The sequence below is a fragment of the Homo sapiens genome, chromosome 2 (genome assembly GCF_000001405.40).
Source record: "Homo sapiens chromosome 2, GRCh38.p14 Primary Assembly".
In the NCBI taxonomy this organism is placed as follows: domain Eukaryota; kingdom Metazoa; phylum Chordata; class Mammalia; order Primates; family Hominidae; genus Homo; species Homo sapiens.
This window is the reverse complement of record NC_000002.12, coordinates 91,683,885-91,705,659: the sequence shown is the minus strand read 5'-3', so window position 1 is coordinate 91,705,659 and position 21,775 is coordinate 91,683,885. Positions and strand designations below refer to the sequence as shown.

Below are 21,775 nucleotides of genomic sequence, written 5' to 3'. Positions count from 1 at the left end.
TCAAGAAATTTGCTCCTCTATAAATCTTATATTGTACTAATATCCTGCTTTTGTCTTGAAAAAGTAAAACATAAAAATATATGCATTTAATTTAAAAGACAATTTATACTATTCACAAAGATTTTAGGTTTAGCTGATTCATTTTGTCTGTTGATTTATAAAGCTGAGAACTGGAGTATTTAGTAAAAAATTATTATCCCATTCTGTTCTTTCCCACATTCTCTCTCCTCTGTGCTCACTCATATACAAAATGACATTTTCTCCTTATAGCCAAAAGAAAGAAAACAAGTGTCATATTTAATGCAATCGGTAATAATCGAGAGTCAGCACTGCTCACTTTCAAGCATTTCAGGATAGAGGCTTTCTGGGGAACCTTTTAAGCGGTATCGTGTGCTTGGTTTTAAATATGGACAGGTCTCAATACTTCACTAGTTGTATCTAAGGTTCTTGGTTTTTTCTTTTTAAGAACTCAGTCTTAATAAAACTTACATATTTGAATAAAGTGTCATGGCCACTGGAAGCAAGCATGGAGGTATAGCTGTACAGCAGAGGTCTTAAACTGTATACTCCACAAGGAAATCTTTTCTAGTATTGCCATACCATGTAATATAAATACTAACCTCAGTTTCAATAATAGGTTGTGAACCATGAGTGATTTTTATACCATTCTCCCCTGCCCTTCAGACATCACTGTGTTATATCATTGTCAGTAAAATGTCAGTATAGTAAGCAAATCAACATTATCTCCTTCAGAATTCTTTGTTGATAACTACACTAGTATTTATTTTATAGGGTAATACAGGTTTTTGTGAATTTAGGAATCAAAATGAAAGATTGTAATTAATACTATCCAAAATAGAAGACTAGTATGGTTAATTTCTGTAGTTTTTTAAAATTAGTTGCTTGCTCATGGTATGTGACTGAAAAACACAGAGTATATAAAGCCAATTAAAAATGGAGTTATATATGCATAAAACATGTTTCTTTTCTTCTTTGTACTTTATATTCTGTATAAAAGTAGCTGCTATCATTAGATTTTGTTTTTTAGAATGCTTAATGTTTTGGACCTAAGGAAATTGAATAAGATCCCTTTCAAGATAGTAATGTATTTCTTTTAACCCATCCAACAATTACCGAATTCCCATTTTACAGATGAGTACGACTTACATAAGTTAAGATTGGACAATTAGTGCACTATCAGACACCTAGTTATTCCTGTTTTTAAAAATTATGTGTGGTTCCTTTTACATGACACTGTTTTGGACAGTATAGAATACTGCAGTCTCATTGAGAAATACAGCAGTATCTAGAAATATACTAGGGATATGTGAATTGGCTCAGCTTGCATTTTTATTGCAGGAGGCAATTGTTTGTGGATAAGTTTGATACCTTTGAAGCTTCTTTTTAAGCTTGCTGGGGCAAGTCTAGAAAGCCTTCACTCTAAGGTGGATATTTTCAAACTTTATGGTTTTAGAACCTTAACACTCTTTAAAATTACTGGGGACGCCATAGTTTTTGTTCATGAGGATTTTAACTATCGACTATTCAGCATTTTAGAAATTAAAACTAGGAACATTTTGTAACACAAGACTACAGAAGCACAACCTGTACAATGTCAATGTAATATTATGATACAACATGTAGCTTCTATAAACACCACTGTATAATTGTGAATAAATTAAAGTGAAAAAAGGCAAATTAAATCTTAGTATTATTTAAACTTGTTTTAACTTTACAGACCCACTGGGGTTCCCTAGTCCACATTTTGGTAGCTGCAGTCCTAGCATTAGTTTAACCCTATACTTAAGACTTGGCCTTTCTGGGATCACTACTGAATTCTACCCCCTGTTCACCAGTGTCTTTGTACTCTGACTGGTTGTGCTTCACTTGTCTTTGAGCCTTTTGCAAGCTCTGGTAATTGTGCAGCTTACACATTCCCAGTAGATGTACTTTCCCCTGGTTGTGGGTCTTTGGGCTTCTAGAAGTACGGCTTGGTGTTCCACCAAAGACTTCAGGGGATCCTTTGTAGATTTCTGGAGCTCTTAGTCCTTATTGCTTCTTCATTTTGAGTACTGTGTCCTGCAAATTCCACTGCCTCGCCTCCCCTAACCTCAGCGAGGCCATTGATTGTACTCTGCTGCGGTTCTCCCTCCCTGGGCAGGATTCTGGAAAATGTTTCTAGGCAGAATATCATAGGACTCCCTGAGTGTTTCCTTCCTCTCAGAGACCACTGTCTCCTTTACTATGTGTTGTCCAATATCTGAAAACAGTTGTTTCATACACTTTGTCCAATTTTCTACTATCTTATGGGAAAACAGCCTGGTCCCATATACTCCATTATCGTTGAAGCATGTATCCGTATTAGATTATAAAACATATCTGTAACAACTTTGGACATGGTACCATGGATGGAATCCTGGATGACATCTTATTTGAAAAAACTTTTAAAACTAAGGCTAAACTGGTTCAACGGAAGAAAAAAATGATAGTACAACCCCAGTACCTAAGTTAAAAGGAAATTTCAAAGACGGAGAAATTGTTGAAGTGTTGAAGTACTAGAAGTCAAGAAACACAAACACTAATGTTTCCATTAGATTTGAGAATAAGAAGGTCTTGACAAGCCTGGCTTAAGCAGTTATGAGTGGATGTGGGTGTAGAGACCAGACTGTAGTGTTTTGAAGAGTGAATATAAGCGGAGAAACTTGAGAGTTTGGTTGTAAAAGGGACCACAGGTATCTGTGAAGAAAACTTAGTAGGAATGAAGATAAATATTTTAAAAGTTCTGCCACTAAACACCTCAGATCTGTCTGCCACTTTGTCTTCAGGTCATTGTTTAAGCCAGGATCAGGCAGACTGGCCCATAGACTAAATCTGGCCCATTTCCTGTGTTTGCAAATAAACTTTTATTGAAATATGGCCAAGTTCTTTTGTTTACATATATTTGTAGCGGTTTTTGCATTACACTGGCAGAGTTTTTATAAAGTTGCAACAGATCATATGGCCCTCAAAACTTTCTGTTTACTCTCTGGCCCTTTATTGGAAATGTTTGCTGGCTACTGCTCTAAGCCACCCTGATCTTACCCCAGGCCATTTCCTTCATTTGGGCAAATAATATACTAACTTGGTAATCTAAGACAAATTCTTAAAAATCAATAAGCTAATCAAAATAATAAATATACATGTTTAAAAATCAAATGACATTAAAAGCCTCGTAATGGGCCAGGTGTGGTGCCTCACACCTGTCATCCCAGCACTTTGGGAGGCCGAGGCGGGTGGATCACTTGAGGGCAGGAGTTCAAGCCAGCCTGGCCAACACAGTAAAACCCCATCTCTACTAAAAATACAAAAATTAGCCGAGTGTGGTGGCTCATTCCTCTAGTCCTAGCTACTCAGGAGGCTGAGCCAGGAGAATTATTTGAACATGGGAGCCGGAGGTTGCAGTGAGCTGAGATCACACCACTGCACTCCAGCCCAGGCAACAGAGCAAGACTCCATCTCAAAAAAAAAAAAAAAGGCCTTGTAATGAACAACCAACTCTTGTCTTACTCTACGTCCACATCTGAGGGAATCACTTTTAATCTTTTCAGGTCTTTTTTCTTGTGGTTAATGCTATAGCTCTAAATAATCAACTGGTTTACTGCTTTATCAATGCTAGATTTTGTTGACTTTCTGCTATGAATAAATAAATTCTGATTTAGGTCTTAAAATACACCTCCTTCCTTCTCCCAATATAGTTGTATTACTATGTTTAGTTCAATTAATAAGGTGTTGGTTATGACTCAGTAAATGTTCACTGCAGATCTAAACAGTATACTATGAGTTTCTTTTGTCTTTCATGGAGTTTTTAATAACAAGAAAGTAATAGTGACTCTCCATTCGTTCTTTGTTTTTGCCTACTATAGAACTATCATATAAGATTATTTTTTAAAGTACTGTTTTTTTCTGGGAGAAGTCCTACCCTCTTTCTAGACATTCCCTTCTCCTGCTCTGATATGTGCCAGTGGCTTCTGGGTGTGTTGTTCTCATCCTTAAACTTCCCTGGCCTGATGTCCTTTGTCAGATCTGTTGATTTATAGATCCCAAGTCTTCCTTTTCTTTGTAATACATCCTCATTCTGTTCCGCATATCTCTAAGTAACTTTATTAGAAGGAGAATGAAGGAGCTGAATTTTGAGTCTTCCTGTGTCTACAACGTATTCTGTCTTCACACATAGTTGCTTGTGTAGCTAGGTTGAGAATTGTACTTTGAAAAGTATTTTCCTGTAGAATTGGAAGATTATACTCTTCTAGCATCTGGAGTTGGGAAGTTTTGTGCCATTCTGATGGGTGTTCCTTTGAATTTAACTCTTTTATTTTCTTCTCTGGTAGCTTTTAGGCTTTCTTGTACCTCATGATCTGAATTTTTATTCTGTACCCTCATTACTTGCTGTTTCATTATAATGTGGGCACTTGATTGGTTCTGTCTGAGGATCCTAGTCTTTTGAGATCTTTAAGAAGTTCCGCAATCTTAATATTACATGGTGTGGCTTCCTTCAGGAGTTTGTTAGGGATTTGGAAATTCCCAAATATTCTGCTAACTTATACCCTTGAGAGAGGGGAGAATAAACAGAGGAGTGAATGTGAACTTCAGAATTCCTAGCTTCATAGTCTAAATAGAAATCTTCTAAGATCATAAAATGTCCCTAAGAACTCATGCTTTACATTAATTTTTTTGGTATTTTTTCTATTGATTCTAAGCATGGAAATGTAGATGGAGATTTTGTTGATGTATTTTCAAATTATGTATCAATAATAGTGAAGCTTACTTGATTTCTTTAAAATCTGGTCACTATATCTATAAATACAGTGGACATTAAATGTACAGCATAAGGTAATTATGTGGACTTTAAAAAGGCATTAAAATATGTGCCATTTTCTATTATTCTGCTCAGTAGGCTCCTAAAAGCATGTATGAACATGCCCAACCCAGTATTGGGCCTCCGTAGGCGCTCAATAAATGTTAGTTGATTGCCCCTTTCTGCTTCTAGGTACATAAGCACCATATTAATTTATATAGTATATTTGATTATGTTAGGTTAATGCATAAATCACATGGATTGGTTGTTTCTTTTACAGATCACTAAAGTGGTTCTTAGCAAAGGTTGGAGGTGTCTTGAGTGCACTGTGTGTGAGGCCTGTGGGAAGGCAACTGACCCAGGAAGACTCCTGCTGTGTGATGATTGTGACATAAGTTATCACACCTACTGCCTAGACCCTCCATTGCAGACAGTTCCCAAAGGAGGCTGGAAGTGCAAATGGTTCTCTAGGGTTTGTTTGCCTTGTTAGTCTTTCAAGTTCAGAGCTTTCTCATACCACTTTAGTTTTTAAAAATTAGCCATACCTATTTAATTGAATAATACACATATTCTATGATAGATACCACTAATCAGAAAAATTTTCACATACACATTAAATCATTTGCCCCATTATGTTCGTATGTAGCTTCCTGAATTACAGTAACTGAATAACTAAGAAAATAAAATTGAGACTTTTCGGGGGGATTTGGATTTCAGGTGTGTTTGGTGCAGACACTGTGGAGCAACATCTGCAGGTCTAAGATGTGAATGGCAGAACAATTACACACAGTGCGCTCCTTGTGCAAGTTTATCTTCCTGTCCAGTCTGCTATTGAAACTATAGAGAAGAAGATCTTATTCTGCAATGAAGACAATGTGATAGGTATTGTGCTATTTTTTCATCTTTTTAAAGCTTTTCTCTTTGAAATGTAGCAAAAAAAAAAAAATGGAAAATAGCTTTTCCTTAATCACAAGTTTTAGGTACAGAGCTTTTTGCCTTGTAGATTTTTAGTCACCTAGAAACTTACAGAATTGATTTCCTGTTTTGAATTCTCAACTCCAGACTAAAGTTTTGTTTTGTTTTGTTTTGTTTTTAAATTTACAGACAGAGTCTTGCTCTGTCGCCAGGCTGGAGTGCATCGGCGCTATCTCGGCTCACTGCAAACTCCACCTCCGCCTCCTGGGTTCAAGCGATTCTCCTGCCTCAGCCTCCGGAGTAGCAGGGACTACAGGTGCATGCCACCACGCCCAGCTAATTTTTGTATTTTTAGTAGAGACAGGGTTTCACCATGTTGGCCAGGATGGTCTCCATCTTTTGACCTTGTGATCCACCCGCCTCAGCCTCCCAAAGTTTTATGATTATAGGCGTGAGCCACTGTGTCCACCCAAGACTGAAGATTTTTAATTTAGGCCTTTTTGAGGGTTTAGGAATCCCTTGAAATTAGATGGAGAATTATTGTCTTCCTCTATGCTGTTTCTTATGAAGGGTTTCTGAATCTTTTAATAGATTATAAAAAATATCTAACACTTTCTGTTCTCCTTAAACCACTTTCTCTTAAAGCTCTAGATACTAGATATCTAGGTATTAGATAGCACCTTCTGCCCTCCCTACGTAATTATGTGGAATTTCAAAATCAAGAATGTTTCCTTGCTTTCATTGGTATATTGTTGTACTCTTTAGAAGTTAAGCAGTGAACATATATTGATAGTATTATTTTATCAGTAGTACAGTATTCTTGGGACTCTGGCTACTAATTATCTGTTCCATTGCAAGACAACTTTTTACTTTATTTCCCAATTACCATTCAACATCGCTTTCCATGATATATGTCTACTTCAAGTTAGATGCATTGCCTGGAGCCCATATATGCTAGCACTGCCATTTGCTGTTTTCTGAATACCTTTGTGTTTGCCCTAACTAGCTTCCTTGCTGTCTTTGAAATATTTAATATATGATGATAAAATAATTAGCTTCCTTATGTAATGTGCTTTGCTTCCTCTCTAATAGTTGTTCTCATTCCTTTTTATTTCCTTCTTAGCTCTATGAAAGTTTTTCTGTTAATAGGGATAGTTAGGAGAAAAGGGCAAGGTAGGAGGAGCATGTGAGGCTTAGGGCTTTTAAGTTTGATGACTCAGTGTTACAGGTTTTAAAAGGTAGCAGTTCTCAGTATATTCCATTTTTAAAAAAAAATGTACAAATATGGTCTTTTTAGATGGATGCATGCAGTTCGTCAGAACTTAAATACTGAGGAAGAAGTGGAAAATGTAGCAGACATTGGTTTTGATTGCAACATGTGCAGACCCTATATGCCTGCGTCTAATGGTAAAAGAATAATTTAAACTGTGAGTCTGCACTCTTGTACCACTCACTTGCACCTTACTGTCCATAACCAATGAATTAGCTTAGCTCTACTCTATTTTGTCTTTGTGAAACTTACTTTGACAAGTATTTTATGAAAAATATTATTGTTGATTATACATGACTTATCACAACTTGTTATAAAACAATTTACATGAAACAATAAAAAGCGTATACTTTAGATGTAAACTATAATTTTGCTTCCAAGGAACATGATCTTGTAGTTATTGACAATATGTTAAAATCCAATGTGTTGATTCTTTCTTAGCCAGGTTTTCCTCCATGACTTGAGTATTTCCTTCATCACTTCTTGTTTTGTTGTTGCTTTAAAAAGTGCTTTTAACTTTAGTGTTCAAACATTTATTTTAATAAAATGAGTATAGAAACAGAAATTTTAATCATATGTAAGTATGTAAATACACTTTACCTTTTCTGAAAAGAATTACCTGGATTTTTTTTTTTTCATTTCAGTGCCTTCCTCAGACTGCTGTGGATCTTCACTTGTAGCACAAATTGTCACAAAAGTAAAAGAGCTAGTTAAAATTTGAAATGCTTTACTTAATTTAATTAATTTACTTTGCTTAATTTTTACATAATTGGCTTACCACTTATAAAATCTGCTTCAATCATATGGGTGTTCTATCCAAATTCCGTAATGTTGGTAATCATTTCCACAATGATATATAAAATGTCATCCAGCTTTACTGGGGCAGTATTCCTATAAATTTCAGCAAGTTGGCAACAAAAATAACAGCTCTTAGAATAACCATTAATGCCATACTTGCTTTGGTTTCATTGATATATTACTGTGCTTAATTATCAGTTAGCAGAAAATACGGCCTAGTTAGCAAGCAGATTTCTTTTAGAATTAATTCAATCTCTTAATTTTTTAAAATAATTAATAAGCCTAGTATGGTGATTAATATGATATTCTTATTAAACAGTCATTCTTTTGAATACTTGTATTTAATAGCACCTGATACAAAAACATTTGGATAGTACAGAAGTTGTTCTAAGGAACAACAGTTTTGTACATTTAAAATTAAATCTGCAGGATTTGTACTTATTTATTACTTCTCCCTATTAGTAATTATGTTGATACTCTGATTTTTCCAGATGAGCTTCTGGAGTATTCTCTCTTCTCTTGTGTAAATAGATCCCTGCCTTTTGATCTTTTCCAGGAAAAAGCTCATAGTGGATTAGCTGAGCATTGCATTTATTTGCAGTGCTTCTAACTCTTTTTATTGGGACATGAAAATAAAAATGCCAGGAAGACTTTTTTGAGATGGAGTCTCACCCTGTTGCCCAGACTGGAGTGCAGTGGTACGATCTCGGCTCACTGCAACCTCCGCCTCCCGGGTTCAAGGGATTCTCCTGCCTCAGCCTCCCGCATAGCTGGGATTACAGGTGCCCACCACCACGCCGGGCTAATTTTTTGTATTTTTAGAAGAGACAGGGTTTCACTGTGTTTGCCAGGATGGTCTCGATCTCCTGACCTCGTGATCTGCCTGCCGCCTCGGCCTCCCAGAGTGCTGGGATTACAGGCATGAGCCCCCGCAACGGGCCCAGGAAGACCATTTTTTAAAAACATGTAACATTTCTGCCTATAATCCAAGGAAGTTTGACCTATTGTTCCTAGTTTTTATTGGGTATCATGAAATTAATTATTCATGCATTTCATAGATACGTAATTACTTTCTAGAACTACAGTCACATTCCCTTGACATGGGTATTTTGGAACAGTAATCAGTCAAATTTAAAATGAAAGTTTAAATTTGTATTCTTGGGATTTTGTAATTTTAGACCCACCCAAGACTTATACCCAGGATGGTGTGTGTTTGACTGAATCAGGGATGACTCAGTTACAGAGCCTCACAGTTACAGTTCCAAGAAGAAAACTGTCAAAACCAAAACTGAAATTGAAGATTATAAATCAGAAATAGCGTGGCCGTCCTTCAGACACCTCCAGACATCCAATCAGAACATTCAAGGGATGGTGATATGGATGATAGTCGAGGTAATACTAATTTATTTTCCGTGAAATATGTGTGCAAGAATTACAGCATATAAAGTAACTTTTGAAATATGTGTATGATTTACCAAAGGGTAAATCACACTGACTTAGATAACCCCGATGTGACCCTTGCCATCTCCAAATGAGTGATCTTCTTAGACCTTGCCTTTTCGGGTTCTCTTCCTTTCACACATTTTAGAACAGACCTACCTTACAGAAATCTCAAGGAGCACCATATCTTTGAAGATCACAGGTGGGGAAATACAGAGGGCTTGACTTTAGTTTGCTAGATGACGACACAAACCTTCTCAGATACTGTGAGCTTGGATAATACCATGTTTAAGTTAAGGTAGTTGAGGCATACATTCTAGAAATGGAAAAGCTGTCATTTAATATTACTTCAGGTATAACTTCATATTCACCAGTGTGCATCATAAAGTATTGGTTTATAAACATTTTCTTAATCAAAGTAAATATAAGGTTTTTCTAGCTGAATTTTTTTTTTTTTTTTGGTTGGGAGACAGGGTCTTGCTCTGTTGCCCAGGTTAGAGTGCAGTGGCATGATCTTGGCTTACTACAACCTCTGCCTACTGGGTTCATGCGACCCTCCTACCTCAGCCTCCTGAGTAGCTGGGACCATGGATGTGGGCCCCCATGCCTGGCTAATTTTTGTATTTTTTTGTAGAGATGGGGTTTTGCCATTTTGCCAAGACTGGTCTTGAACTCCTGGGCTCAAGCCATCTGCTCTGCTCAGCCTGCTGAATTCTTGAGATAGCAAAATATTTTAATAGTAACCTAAAATCCAATATGAATTAAAGAGGATTACTGTAGGTTTCCTCATTTTTGGGGCAGTTATTTATTTTCAACTGATTCAGAAGTGAAGTGATAATTATTTCTGTTCCATTACATTTTATTTCATAGCTTTTTTTTTTTTTTTTTTTTTTTAAGGGGCAGTGTCTTGTTACATTGCCCAGGCTGGTTTCCAACTCCTGGGCTCAAGTGATCCTCCTGCCTCAGCCTCTCAAGTAGCAGGTACTATAGGCATGCGCCACTGCAGCCGGCTTTTAGACAATAGAATTTATTGAATACCTACTGTATGTCAGATGTTGGAAATCATATCAGTGTACAAAGCAGGTAGAATTCTCTGCATAGAGTTTATATTTTAATGTTAGGTAACTCAACTCTTAAAAAAAATCAGTTAATTATAATGTGTTTGGCAAGTTCCATGGTAAAAATAAAGTTTGATAAAGAGGAATTGCCTGGCCAGGCACAGTGGCTTATGCCTGTAATCTCAGCACTTTGGGAGGCCGAGGTAGGTAGATCACTTGAGGTCAGGAGTTCGAGACCAGACTGGCCAACATGGTGAAACCCGTTCTCTGCTAAAAATACAAAAATTAGCCGGGCTCAGTGGCATGCACCTCTAATCCCAGCTACTTGGGAGGCCAAGGCAGGAGAATTGCTTGAACCTGGGAGGCGGAGGTTACAGTGAGCCGAGATTGCACCACTGCACTCCAGCGTGGGTAACAGAGCAAGACTCCGTCTCCAAAAAAAAAAAAAAAAAAGGAATTGGAAGTACAGACAGGTGTTTAGGGTCCATATGAACAGAAAGCAGTATTTGAGCACAGATTTTAAAGAGGTGAGTGAGTGAGCCACTTGATTACCTGAGAGAAGAGCACCCCAGACAGTGAAGAAGCCAGTGTAAAGGCTCTGGGTGAGAGTGTGCTGAGCATGTTTGAAGAGTGTTGTGGAGACCAACAGAGTGAGCAGAGGGGACAGTCAGAAGGTGAGAAGATTAGAGATGTGAGGACAAGAAGGACGGCTCAGTATATCTCACACAACCATAAGGTGATGTGTCAGTAGTTTGTGCTTAATAGCAATGGAATGGGAGGCCATTGAATGTTCCTGAAAAGAAGAACACCATGATCTTATTTATATTTTAAGAGGAACACTCTCCTATGATATAAGTAGAAGATTAGGTGCAAGAGTTATGACAGGTAGATCAGTGAGAAACAATGGTCCAGGTGAGAGGTAATTGTGGCTTTGAAAAGGTATGTCTTTTGTGGCCAGGCTCGGTGGCTCATGCCTGTAATCCCAGCACATTGGGAGGCCAAGGCGGGTGGATCACCTGAGGTCAGGAGATCAAGACCATCCTGGCCAACACGGTGAAACCTCGTCTTTACTAAAAATACAAAAATTAGCTGGGCGTGGTGGCAGGCACCTGTAATCCCAGCTATTTGGGAGGCAGAGGCAGAGGATTGCTTGAACCCAGGAGGCAGAGGTTGCAGTGAGCCAAGATCGAGCCACTGCACTCCAGCCTGGTGACAGAGTGAGACTCCATCTCAAAAAATAAATAAATACATGAAAAGATATGTCTTTTGTATGTTCTTGATAATTTTTGTTTTGTAGTGTGTTTTGGGTCTATGTTGCTGGGAGAAACACTTTCTGATGCTTGTATGTAACTGATTTTCAGATACGGTTGAACAGGTAATTTGATTTGGGGGCTTGGAGTTTGCAAAGAAGTAGTCCATATACTTGGAGGAATTGATCAGATCAGCATTAACAAGAATTTCCATTTCTGAGGATGTTAAAAAATGTCTGAAAAAGGTTTCCATAGTCTCTTAAATTTGGGAAGTGCTCCATTTCACAAAATATGAAAGGTTTCTTGATAATAGTACACATTGTTTCCCAAATTATGTGATTATAATACCTTTTAAAAACAACACAGAAGATCTTGGAAGGTTTTCCTTGTGACTTACCACTTGTAAACACTGAGAAATGGTGATATGTTTCAATTTCATATTTTCTCATTGACTTGTATCACGGTAAAAGAAAATCAGTTGAAAAATTACCCTTGCTTTTTTAAAATGTACGTGATAAAATAGCCCATCTGAATTTACTGAATTTGTCTTTATTTTTATTGAATATGAAAAAAGATTGTTTAGCGTGTTAGATGTTAAATGCTAAGACAATTTTAGAATTTAAGGAATTGAATATACAGTATTTTCATGACTAGTCCCTCATGTTCATTTACATGCCAGGATCTCACATCCTTTGCAGAAGGAAAGGTACATTCCTAGGGATAAAATAAATGCATGTTACTTGGACAACATTTTTGCTTTCTGTTTGCTAAATAAAAATCCTTTTTAAAAATTTAGTATTGCCACACTTTGCCATATTAAAAATGTTTTAGATTACTATATTATCCTGAAACTACATGTACACACACACCACTAAAATAAGTTTTATGGTATTTCATATGCCTGTACGGGAGAAAAAATAGGAAAAGAATAAAATCATCATAAGTTCTTATTATTACATTATGCTGAGATTTCTAATAACGCTGCCCTTTTCTGGGTATTTTGTATTAAACCTAAAATTTGTGATGTTTTAGACTGTTTCACTAACATGTTTTGATAACGTCTCAGTACCCTTGGGAAAGCATTATAAAGTAGTGGGCAACGATGAAACCTACTCTGGATGTTTTTAGGCAAATTTTTTAACTTCTCTGATGCTAGTGTTCTCTTTTATAAAATAGGTGAACCAGGATGAGCCCATAGGATAGTTGTGCTGATGAGGTGCAAGGATGCATGCCAGGCACCCAGCACTGGCTCTTCCCAGACATGGAGTGCTCAGTAATCGTGAGCTATTAGAATACAGGTGCCCAACCAGTGCTTGAGCAATTGTGTTCTGTGTCCAACAGAACTCAACAGAATCCCACGTTTGTCTTTATATGTGAATTCAGTTCCTTTTGAGTTAGTAAGAAATTTTGCCTGTGTTGGGGTAATTGAACTTTCAGGAGGAGGGAATTGTCTGCCACAATTATTCTCTGAACTTAATGTTTCCATGTCTTTTTCTTCATTTTGGAAGTTGTGGAAAAATTATAATGAAAGAGTATATAAACGTTTTCCTCTGTATTATAGCGTATCTGACAGTTTCCTTTATTAAAAAGTACGATACATTAGGGAGAGACTTAATGAATTTAAAATTAAAGTTTGAAAAGTGTTATTGACTATAAGTGATCTTCAGCTGTGCAGTTTTCAACTTGAGGTTGTCAGAATGTAATATTACACATTATATTACACACATCTACAGAATCCAAATTGTGATGTTCCTGGAGTATTGGAACAATACCTATGACTTTTTGTTTCTATTGATTTTTAACTCTTCTAATAACCACTTCTTTAAGAAAAGTCATACATCATCACTTTGGTGTATCAGAAACAAATTCCTTATGCAATAAAAGCATACTTCTTTCTCATTCACCTACTGGGATCTAGAAACCCTGTTAATGCAAGAAAAAATCCCAAACCTCAATAAAATAACACTCTGTTTGTCTGAAGAGTGGAAACACAACACATTTCCTCTCAACTGGTGGTCCCAGATCCACCATCACAGTGTATGGATGTGTTTGGAGGTGTGGGAATAGGACTGCTCTGAGGCTCTAGAAGGCCAGCAGGTGGGGCAGACTGAATGGAGGGAGGGGACTGGCATTCAGTAACTACTGGAGCGTGGGAAGAGTGAGGTAGACTGTCCATCTGGTGAAGGTGGCTGCTTCCTTGAGGTTTGTTACTTTCTGTAATGTTAATTCCCTCAACTTTTAAAATTTGATTTTTAGACAAGTTATACATTCAAATGATTTAAAATTGGAAAATAATAAAAAGGTAAACAGTGAAGTCTCTCCCTTTCCCCTGCCTTCATGCCCCCAGTTTGCATCTCCAGAAACCTCAGAGGTTTCTCGTGTAACTTTCCAGATGTGTTTTATGCATGTACAAGGAAATGTGTGTTTATATATATATAGTGTGTGTGTGTGTGTATATATATTTTGTTCCTTTTGTCTTACTACTTTTTACTGTCCTTCATTTTTTTATGGCTGCAAATATTCCTTTGTATGGAAATATAAGCAATTTAATTTACCTGTTCTTTCCCCTGTTGATAGACCTTTGGGTTTCTTTCAATCTTTTTTTTTTTTTTTTTTTTTGAGACAGAGTCTCACTCTGTCGCCCAGGCTGGAGTGCAGTGGCATGATCTTCGCTCACTGCAAGCTCCGCCTCCTGGGTTCACGCCATTCTCCTGCCTCAGCCTCCCGAGTAGCTGGGACTACAGGCACCCGCCACCACGCCCGGCTAATTTTTTTGTATTTTTAGTAGAGACGGGGTTTCACCATGTTAGTCAGGATGGTCTCGATCTCCTGACCTCGTGATCTGCCCGCCTCGGCCTCCCAAAGTGCTGGGATTACAGGCATGAGCCACCACTCCCGGCGTTCTTTCAATCTTTTACTGTGAATAGTACAATGAATCACCTGGTATATTTATAATGTTGTAGGTAAGTGGGCCTGCAAAGGTGAATTCCATGCTAAATCCAAAGACATAATGCATTTGAAACTGTTTTTGGCAGGTAGGATACAGTTTTTTGTTTTTTTCTTCATTTATTTTTATTATACATATCTGAGGTATACAACATGCTTTGTATACATAGTGAAATGATTACTATGGTCAAACAAATGTCTGTATCCTTCACCTTCCATAGTTACTCTCTGTGTATGTACACCTAAAATCTCTTTCAGCAAATTTCCAGTACACAATATTATTAACTATGGTTCTCATGCTGTGTATTAATTTGATCTCTAGAATTATTCATCTTACCTAACTGCAGATTTGTACCCTCAGACCTACTTCTGCCCATCCCACCCATCCCCTACCTCCAGACTCTTGATAACCACCATTCTACTCTCTATACATTCAGCTTCTCACCCCCCTGCCTCCCATTCTGCTTCTTAAGTGAGATCATACAGTATTTTTCTGTGTCTGGCTTACTTTATTTAGCATACTTTCCTCCCAGTTCATCCATGTTGTCACAAATGGCAGTATCTCCTTTCTTAAAGCTAACTATTCCATTGTATAAAGTCCTCATTGTCATCAGTAAGTTCTTAGAAACTGTGGTTAAGAGGGGAAAAAAAGTATGACAAAACTGATTTTTTTTTCATTTTGCATTATGCCAAAATTAGATTGAAGGAAACAGTGTTACTTGAGGACCTGCTGTATGTTCATTTAGCTTAACGTCTCAGTTCCCAAGAACCTATTGATGACATTAAGGGAGGACTTAATATATGTATAAACAAATGTCACAATTTCTTTATCCATTCATCTGTCCTTGAATGGGTAAGTAAATTGTCCATTAGGACACTTAGTTTGTTTCCATGTCTTGGCTATTGGGAGTAATGCCGCCATGAACATGGGAATCCAGATGTCTCTCTCAGATGCTGATTTTATTACCTTTGAATATATGCCCAACAGAGGCATTGTTGGATCTTATGGTAGTTGTATTTTTTTTTAAGGAAACTCTATACTGTTTTCAATAATGGCTATACTAATTTACATTCCTATCAACCATGTACAAAGGTTTCATTTTCTACACATCCTCACCAACACTTATGTCTTTGCCTTTTTGTTAATAGTCATTCTAAGAGACACGAGATGATATCTATTGTGGTTTTAATTTTCATTTTCCTCATGATTATGATATTGAGCATCTTTTCATATACCATTTGACCATTTGTGTGACTTTGGAAAAATGGCTATTCAGGTCCTTGCCTATTTTAAAATCCAGTTATTTGGGGTTTTTTTTTTGCTACTGAGTTGTGTGAGTTCCTTATATGTTTTGGATTTTAACCCCTTATCAGATGTGTGGTTTGCCAATATTTTCCCCTAATCCCTGTGCTACCTTTTTACCCCATTTTGTTTTTTTTTATTGCTATGCAGAAGCTTATTTGCTTGATGTAGTCCCACTTGCTTATTTTTGCTTTTGCTGCCTGAGCTTTTGGTGTGATATCCAAAAAATCATTGTCAAGGAGGATATTAAGGAGTTTTTCTCCTATATTTCCTTCTAGGAGTTTTATGGTTTCAGGTGTTAGGTATTTAATCTATTTGAGTTGCTTTTTATGTATGATGTGTAAGATAGGCATCAGGTCCAGTTTCATTCTTTTGCATATAGATATCTAGTTTTCTTACCACTACTTATTGAAGACACCATCTTTTCCCTATTGTATCTTATTGGACTTGTCAAAAATTAGCTCATAATATATGTTTGGGTTTATTTTTGGGCTCTGTATTCAGTTCCATTGATCCATGTGTCTGCTTTTATGCCAGTACCATACGTTTTGATAACTATCACTTTGTAATATAAGTTGAAATCAGGTAGTGTGATACCTTCTACTTTGTTTTTCTTTCTCAAGATTCTTTTGGCTATTCAGGGTCTTTTATGATTTAATACAAATTTTAGAATTGTGTTTTCTATTTTTGTGAAAAATGCCTTTGGAAATTTGATAGGGATTGCATTGAATCTGTAGATCACTTTGGATAGTATGGACATTTTAACAATATTCTTCCAATCCACAAACTTGGGGATATCATTATATTTATTTGTGTCTGTAGTTTTTTTCTGTTTTTTGAGACAGAGTCACGCTCTGTTGCCCAGGCAGAAGTGCAGTGGTGTGATCTCAGCTCACTGCAACTTCCACCGCCTCCTGGGTTCAAGCAATTCTGCTGCCTCAGCCCCCCAAGTAGCTGGGATTACAGGTGCCTGCCACCATGCCCGACTGGCCAATTTTTGTATTTTTAGTAGAGACAGGGTTTCGCCATGTTGGCCAGGCTGGTCTTGAACTCCTGACTTCAGGTGATCTACCTGCCTTGGCATCCCAAAGTGCTGGGATTACAGGCGTGAGCCACCATGCCCGGCTGTGTGTCTTCAGTTTACTTTGTCAGTATTTTATAGTGTTTAGTATATAAAGCTTTCACTTCCTTCATTAAATTTGTTCCTCGGTGTTTTATTCTTTTTGATGTTATTTTAAGTGGAAATGTTTTCTTGATTTTTTTTCAGATCATTATTTGTATAAAGAAATGCATCTGATTTTTGTATATTGATTTTGTATCCTGCTACTTGACTGAATTCATTTATTCTAGTAACTGTGGAATTTTTAGGGGTTTCTACATACAGGATCATGTCATCTGCACACAGGGATAATTTTACCCCCTTTTTTCTGCTGATGCCTTTTATTTCCTTTTCTTATGTGATTGCTCTGGCTAGGACTATGTTGAATATAAGTGTTAAGAGTAGGCATCCTTGCCTTGTAGCAGATATTGAAGAAAAGCTTTCAGTCTTTCCTTGTTGTAGGTTTGTTTTTGAATAGGCAATACCTGTGCATGATACAAGAAATACAAAGGTCTTAAAAAGAGTGAACAATGTTAAGTTAGCCTACCTTTTGGCCATCCCTTCCTTGGAAAGAACCAGTGTTTTCTTATAACTTTCCAGAGATTAGTCATCTAGATACAAGTATGTATATATGGGAGAATTTCTCATATTTGGGTGATATGGTCTTTTTCTCTTTTCTTTTCTTTTCTTCCGGTCTGTCTTTCTTTCTGTCCTCGTCTCGTCTCTTCTCTTCTCTTTTCTTCATTTCTTTTGATGGAGTCTTGCTTTGTCATCCAGGCTGGAGTGTAGTGGTGCAATCTCGGCTCACTGTAAGCTCTGCCTCCCAGGTTCACGCCATTCTCTTGCCTCAGCCTCTGGAGTAGCTGGGACTACAGGCACCCACCACCACGCCTGGCTAATTTTTTGTATTTTTGTGTTTTTAGTTCCTCTCCTCTCCAGGAGAGGAACAGGGGCCACAGGGAGCTGATCATGAAACACACTGAGGGTGTTTCATCAGGGGAGTGACATGAGCATAGTCACATTCAGGAAAGATCACTGCCTCTGGGAAGACAGAGGGTCAGGGCAGAGCCTGGAGGCCAGGAGAATGCCACCTTCAAACAGGGTGGAGGAGGCACAATTCTGGACAGGGATGTCCATGGCCAGAGGAGTGATCCAGCTCCTAGAAGATGAGGAGAGACCGAAGGTGAGGATGGCTCTTCAGTTTCAGGTTTAGGCACCTGGACAGATGGTCTTGCCTTCTCCAGCGGCAGAAAGCACTGAAGGGGAAAGAGGTTGGGGGAAGGGACTGTGTAGGCTGAGCAGCCTAAGTCTGAGAAGCTGGGCCACTTGCAGGTGTTGGTCCAGGGTGCAAGTGCATTTGGTGAAGGGGGAGACTAGGAAGGGAGGAGAAAGTCCAGTCTGTTACTAGACCTCACCATGCTGCAGGTGTCTGGGCCAGCAGGTCGCAGCCGGAGCTGTGCAGCTGGCTGCTGTCACATCCCTTTCTCTCCCAGCTGCCTTCAGCTGAGCTTAACGCCAGCAGAGGCCGAAACACTTCACAAATGCAACTTGTCAGCTGGGAGGTGCACTCAGAGCTCAGGAACACTGTTTTCCCTCTTTATTGTTTTCCATCATTTTTTTTTCAGTCTGGGTTTTGGGCCCCGTCAGTTCCTTTTCTGTTCAACACTGAGCTATGTATCCACCCCTCTCAAGGTTGAAAAAGCGAAAGACTGTAAAAGTGCCCTGCAAAGAAGAGGCTTCCAACTCTCTGGGGCGGGGGGGGGGGGGGGGGGGGCTCTCTTCCTCCTCTTGTCTTCTGGGTTCATTCCAAATTATTCCCCAAAGGAAAAATCACTGAAGGACTGGGGGCGGTGGTGGGGAAAAGGACAGTCTCCCAAGAGGTCAGGTGAAGCCCCAGCCTCATGGTGTTGAGGGAGGGGCTGGGGGAAGCGGGAGCCTGTTCCTAGGAGACACTGTCTACTGGACACCTCATCCTAGACGGCTTCCCTGAGTTCTGACACTGTTCTAGGAGTAGGAATCATTATCCCACGCTGTGGAGAAGGAAACCAAGGCCGGGTAAAGTTATGTAGGGCCCTTAAAGTTGCAGAGCCAGGAATAAAGTCCGGATTGGGACTCAGGTCTGTGGGCAATATAAGGCCGTCCCCTTTACACTTCAAATGCTCTTTCCCCCTCCGGAAGCCCTCGCGTCCTCATCCCTACCCCACCTCTTGTTCCCCAAGCGTGGCTAGGGCTAGGGCTCCAGGGCTACGCCAAGCACCCTTCGGTCTTCCCGGGAAGAATTTTCCCCGGCCCGGGGCTAGGGTCTGGCGCTGGGGCGCTCCTGGGACCTGCGGGATCACCACTACACTCTGGCGCGCTGAGCGCGGTGAGCTAGGGCGCCAAGGCACAGGTGGGGCTGGAGTCCAGCGCGGAGGCGCGGGGGGCGGGACGCGGGGCCGGGGAGCGTTCAGGGACCGCGGCAGCGCCGCAGTGCAGCCCGGCGCCGGCGACTGCCTGCCCCAGCCCCTCAGTGGCGGCTTGCTCTCTTCTCTCGCTCCGAGCCAGACACAGCCGCTGTCGCTGCCATCTGGCGCGCCGCAGACTCCCGAGAACAGCCCTGGCTGTCAGCGGGCACCAGCCGCTTCCTGTGCCCATCGCGTAGACTGGAGGGGCGCACCACGGCCACCGAGCCAGAGGCGCTTCAGGAAGCAAGAGAAGTCCCCGCGCGCTCCGGGACCCGGCGCAGCTCATGGTGAGCGCCCTTTGGGGCTCGAGGGTCCCTTGGCTGAGGGGGCGCATCCTCGGGGTGCCCGATGGGGCTGCCTGGGGGTCGCAGGGCTGTAGTTGGGATCGCGCACAAACCGACTCTGCGGCCCAGCCCGAAATGCTGCCGCCAAGGAGCAACGACACCGCGTACCCGGGGCAGTTAGCGCTATACCAGCAGCTGGCGCAGGGGAATGCCGTGGGGGGCTCGGCGGGGGCACCGCCACTGGGGCCCGTGCAGGTGGTCACCGCCTGCCTGCTGACCCTACTCGTCATCTGGACCTTGCTGGGCAACGTGCTGGTGTCCGCAGCCATCGTGTGGAGCCGCCACCTGCGCGCCAAGATGACCAACGTCTTCATCGTGTCTCTACCTGTGTCAGACCTCTTCGTGGCGCTGCTGGTCATGTCCTGGAAGGCAGTCGCCGAGGTGGCCGGTTACTGGCCCTTTGAAGCGTTCTGCGACGTCTGGGTGGCCTTCGACATCATGTGCTCCACCGCCTCCATCCTGAACCTGTGCGTCAGCAGGTCATCAGCGTGGCCCGCTACTGGGCCATCTCCAGGCCCTTCCGCTACGAGCGCAAGATGACCCAGCGCATGGCCTTGGTCATGGTCCGCCCGGCCTGGACCTTGTCCAGCCTCATCTCCTTCATTCCGGTCCAGCTCAACTGGCACAGGGACCAGGCGGTCTCTTGAGGTGGGCTGGACCTGCCAAACAACCTGGCCAACTGGACGCCCTGGGAGGAGGCCGTTTGGGAGCCCGACGTGAGGGCAGAGAACTGTGACTCCAGCCTGAATCGAACCTACGCCATCCCTTCCTCGCTCATCAGCTTCTACATCCCCATGGCCATCATGATCGTGACCTACACGCGCATCTACCGCATCGCCCAGGTGCAGATCCGCAGGATTTCCTCCCTGGAGAGGGCCGCAGAGCACGTGCAGAGCTGCCGGAGCAGCGCAGGCTGCACGCCCGACACCAGCCTGCGGTTTTCCATCAAGAAGGAGACCGAGGTTCTCAAGACCCTGTCGGTGATCATGGGGGTCTTCGTGTGTTGCTGGCTGCCCTTCTTCATCCTTAACTGCATGGTTCCTTTCTGCAGTGGACACCCCAAAGGCCCTCCGGCCGGCTTCCCCTGCGTCAGTGAGACCACATTCGATGTCTTCATCTGGTTCTGCTGGGCCAACTCCTCACTCAACCCAGTCACTATGCCTTCAACGCCGACTTCCGGAAGGTGTTTGCCCAGCTGCTGGGGTGCAGCCACGTCTGCTCCCGCACGCCGGTGGAGACGGTGAACATCAGCAATGAGCTCATCTCCTACAACCAAGACACGGTCTTCCACAAGGAAATCGCAGCTGCCTACATCCACATGATGCCCAACGCCATTCCCCCCGGGGACCGGGAGGTGGACAACGATGAGGAGGAGGAGAGTCCTTTCGATCGCATGTCCCAGATCTATCAGACATCCCCAGATGGTGACCATGTTGCAGAGTCTGTCTGAGAGCTGGACTGCGAGGGGGAGATTTCTTTAGACAAAATAACACCTTTCACCCCAAATGGATTCCATTAAACTGCATTAAGAAACCCCCTCATGGATCTGCATAACCACACAGACATTGACAAGCATGCACACACAAGCAAATACATGGCTTTCCAGTACTGCTCCCTTTATCATGTGTTTCTGTGTAGTAGCTGGTGTGCTTAGAAACCTCACCCCATTGATTGGTAGTTCAAAGAATTGGCAGAAGCAGTTGCAATAAACTCAGTCAAATGTACCCAGCCTACCAGAGATGGAACAATGATCCTGTGAGAGAAGAGAGTATGGTGCTGGCTCCTTAAAAAAAAAAAAAAAAAAAATGATACTTGGTCCTTAAAAAATATGCTCTCCCCTCCCTTTTTAAACAAATGGCTTTTTCAGTCACTTGTTTGTGTTTGAATTGATTTTTAAACAGCAGGTTTTGTGTGTGTGCAGTGATGTGGTGGGAGCACAGCTTTCCTGGGTCTGGATTCCCGTGGCTTTGTGCTTGTGTCATTTCTTCTCTCTGTGCTGGTGGGGGTCTCTTTACCATAGCTTAAGAAGTCTCCCTGATTTATTCTGGTATCTAATAAACACAGATTATTTGTA

At 40.9% G+C, this 21,775-nt stretch overlaps 2 pseudogenes across 1 annotated transcript in view; both read left to right on the top strand.

Moving 5' to 3' along the window:
- KMT2CP5 (lysine methyltransferase 2C pseudogene 5) overlaps nt 1-19,558 on the top strand; it is a 26,009-nt pseudogene extending 6,451 nt beyond the window's left edge. The window contains exons 5-10 of the transcript NR_171627.1: nt 5,115-5,296; nt 5,552-5,716; nt 7,047-7,156; nt 7,664-7,716; nt 8,996-9,209; nt 19,458-19,558. The product of NR_171627.1 is annotated as a lysine methyltransferase 2C pseudogene 5 (transcript). The remainder of the gene's footprint in view (nt 1-5,114; nt 5,297-5,551; nt 5,717-7,046; nt 7,157-7,663; nt 7,717-8,995; nt 9,210-19,457) is intronic.
- On the top strand, nt 19,382-21,775 carry DRD5P1 (dopamine receptor D5 pseudogene 1; annotated as a pseudogene).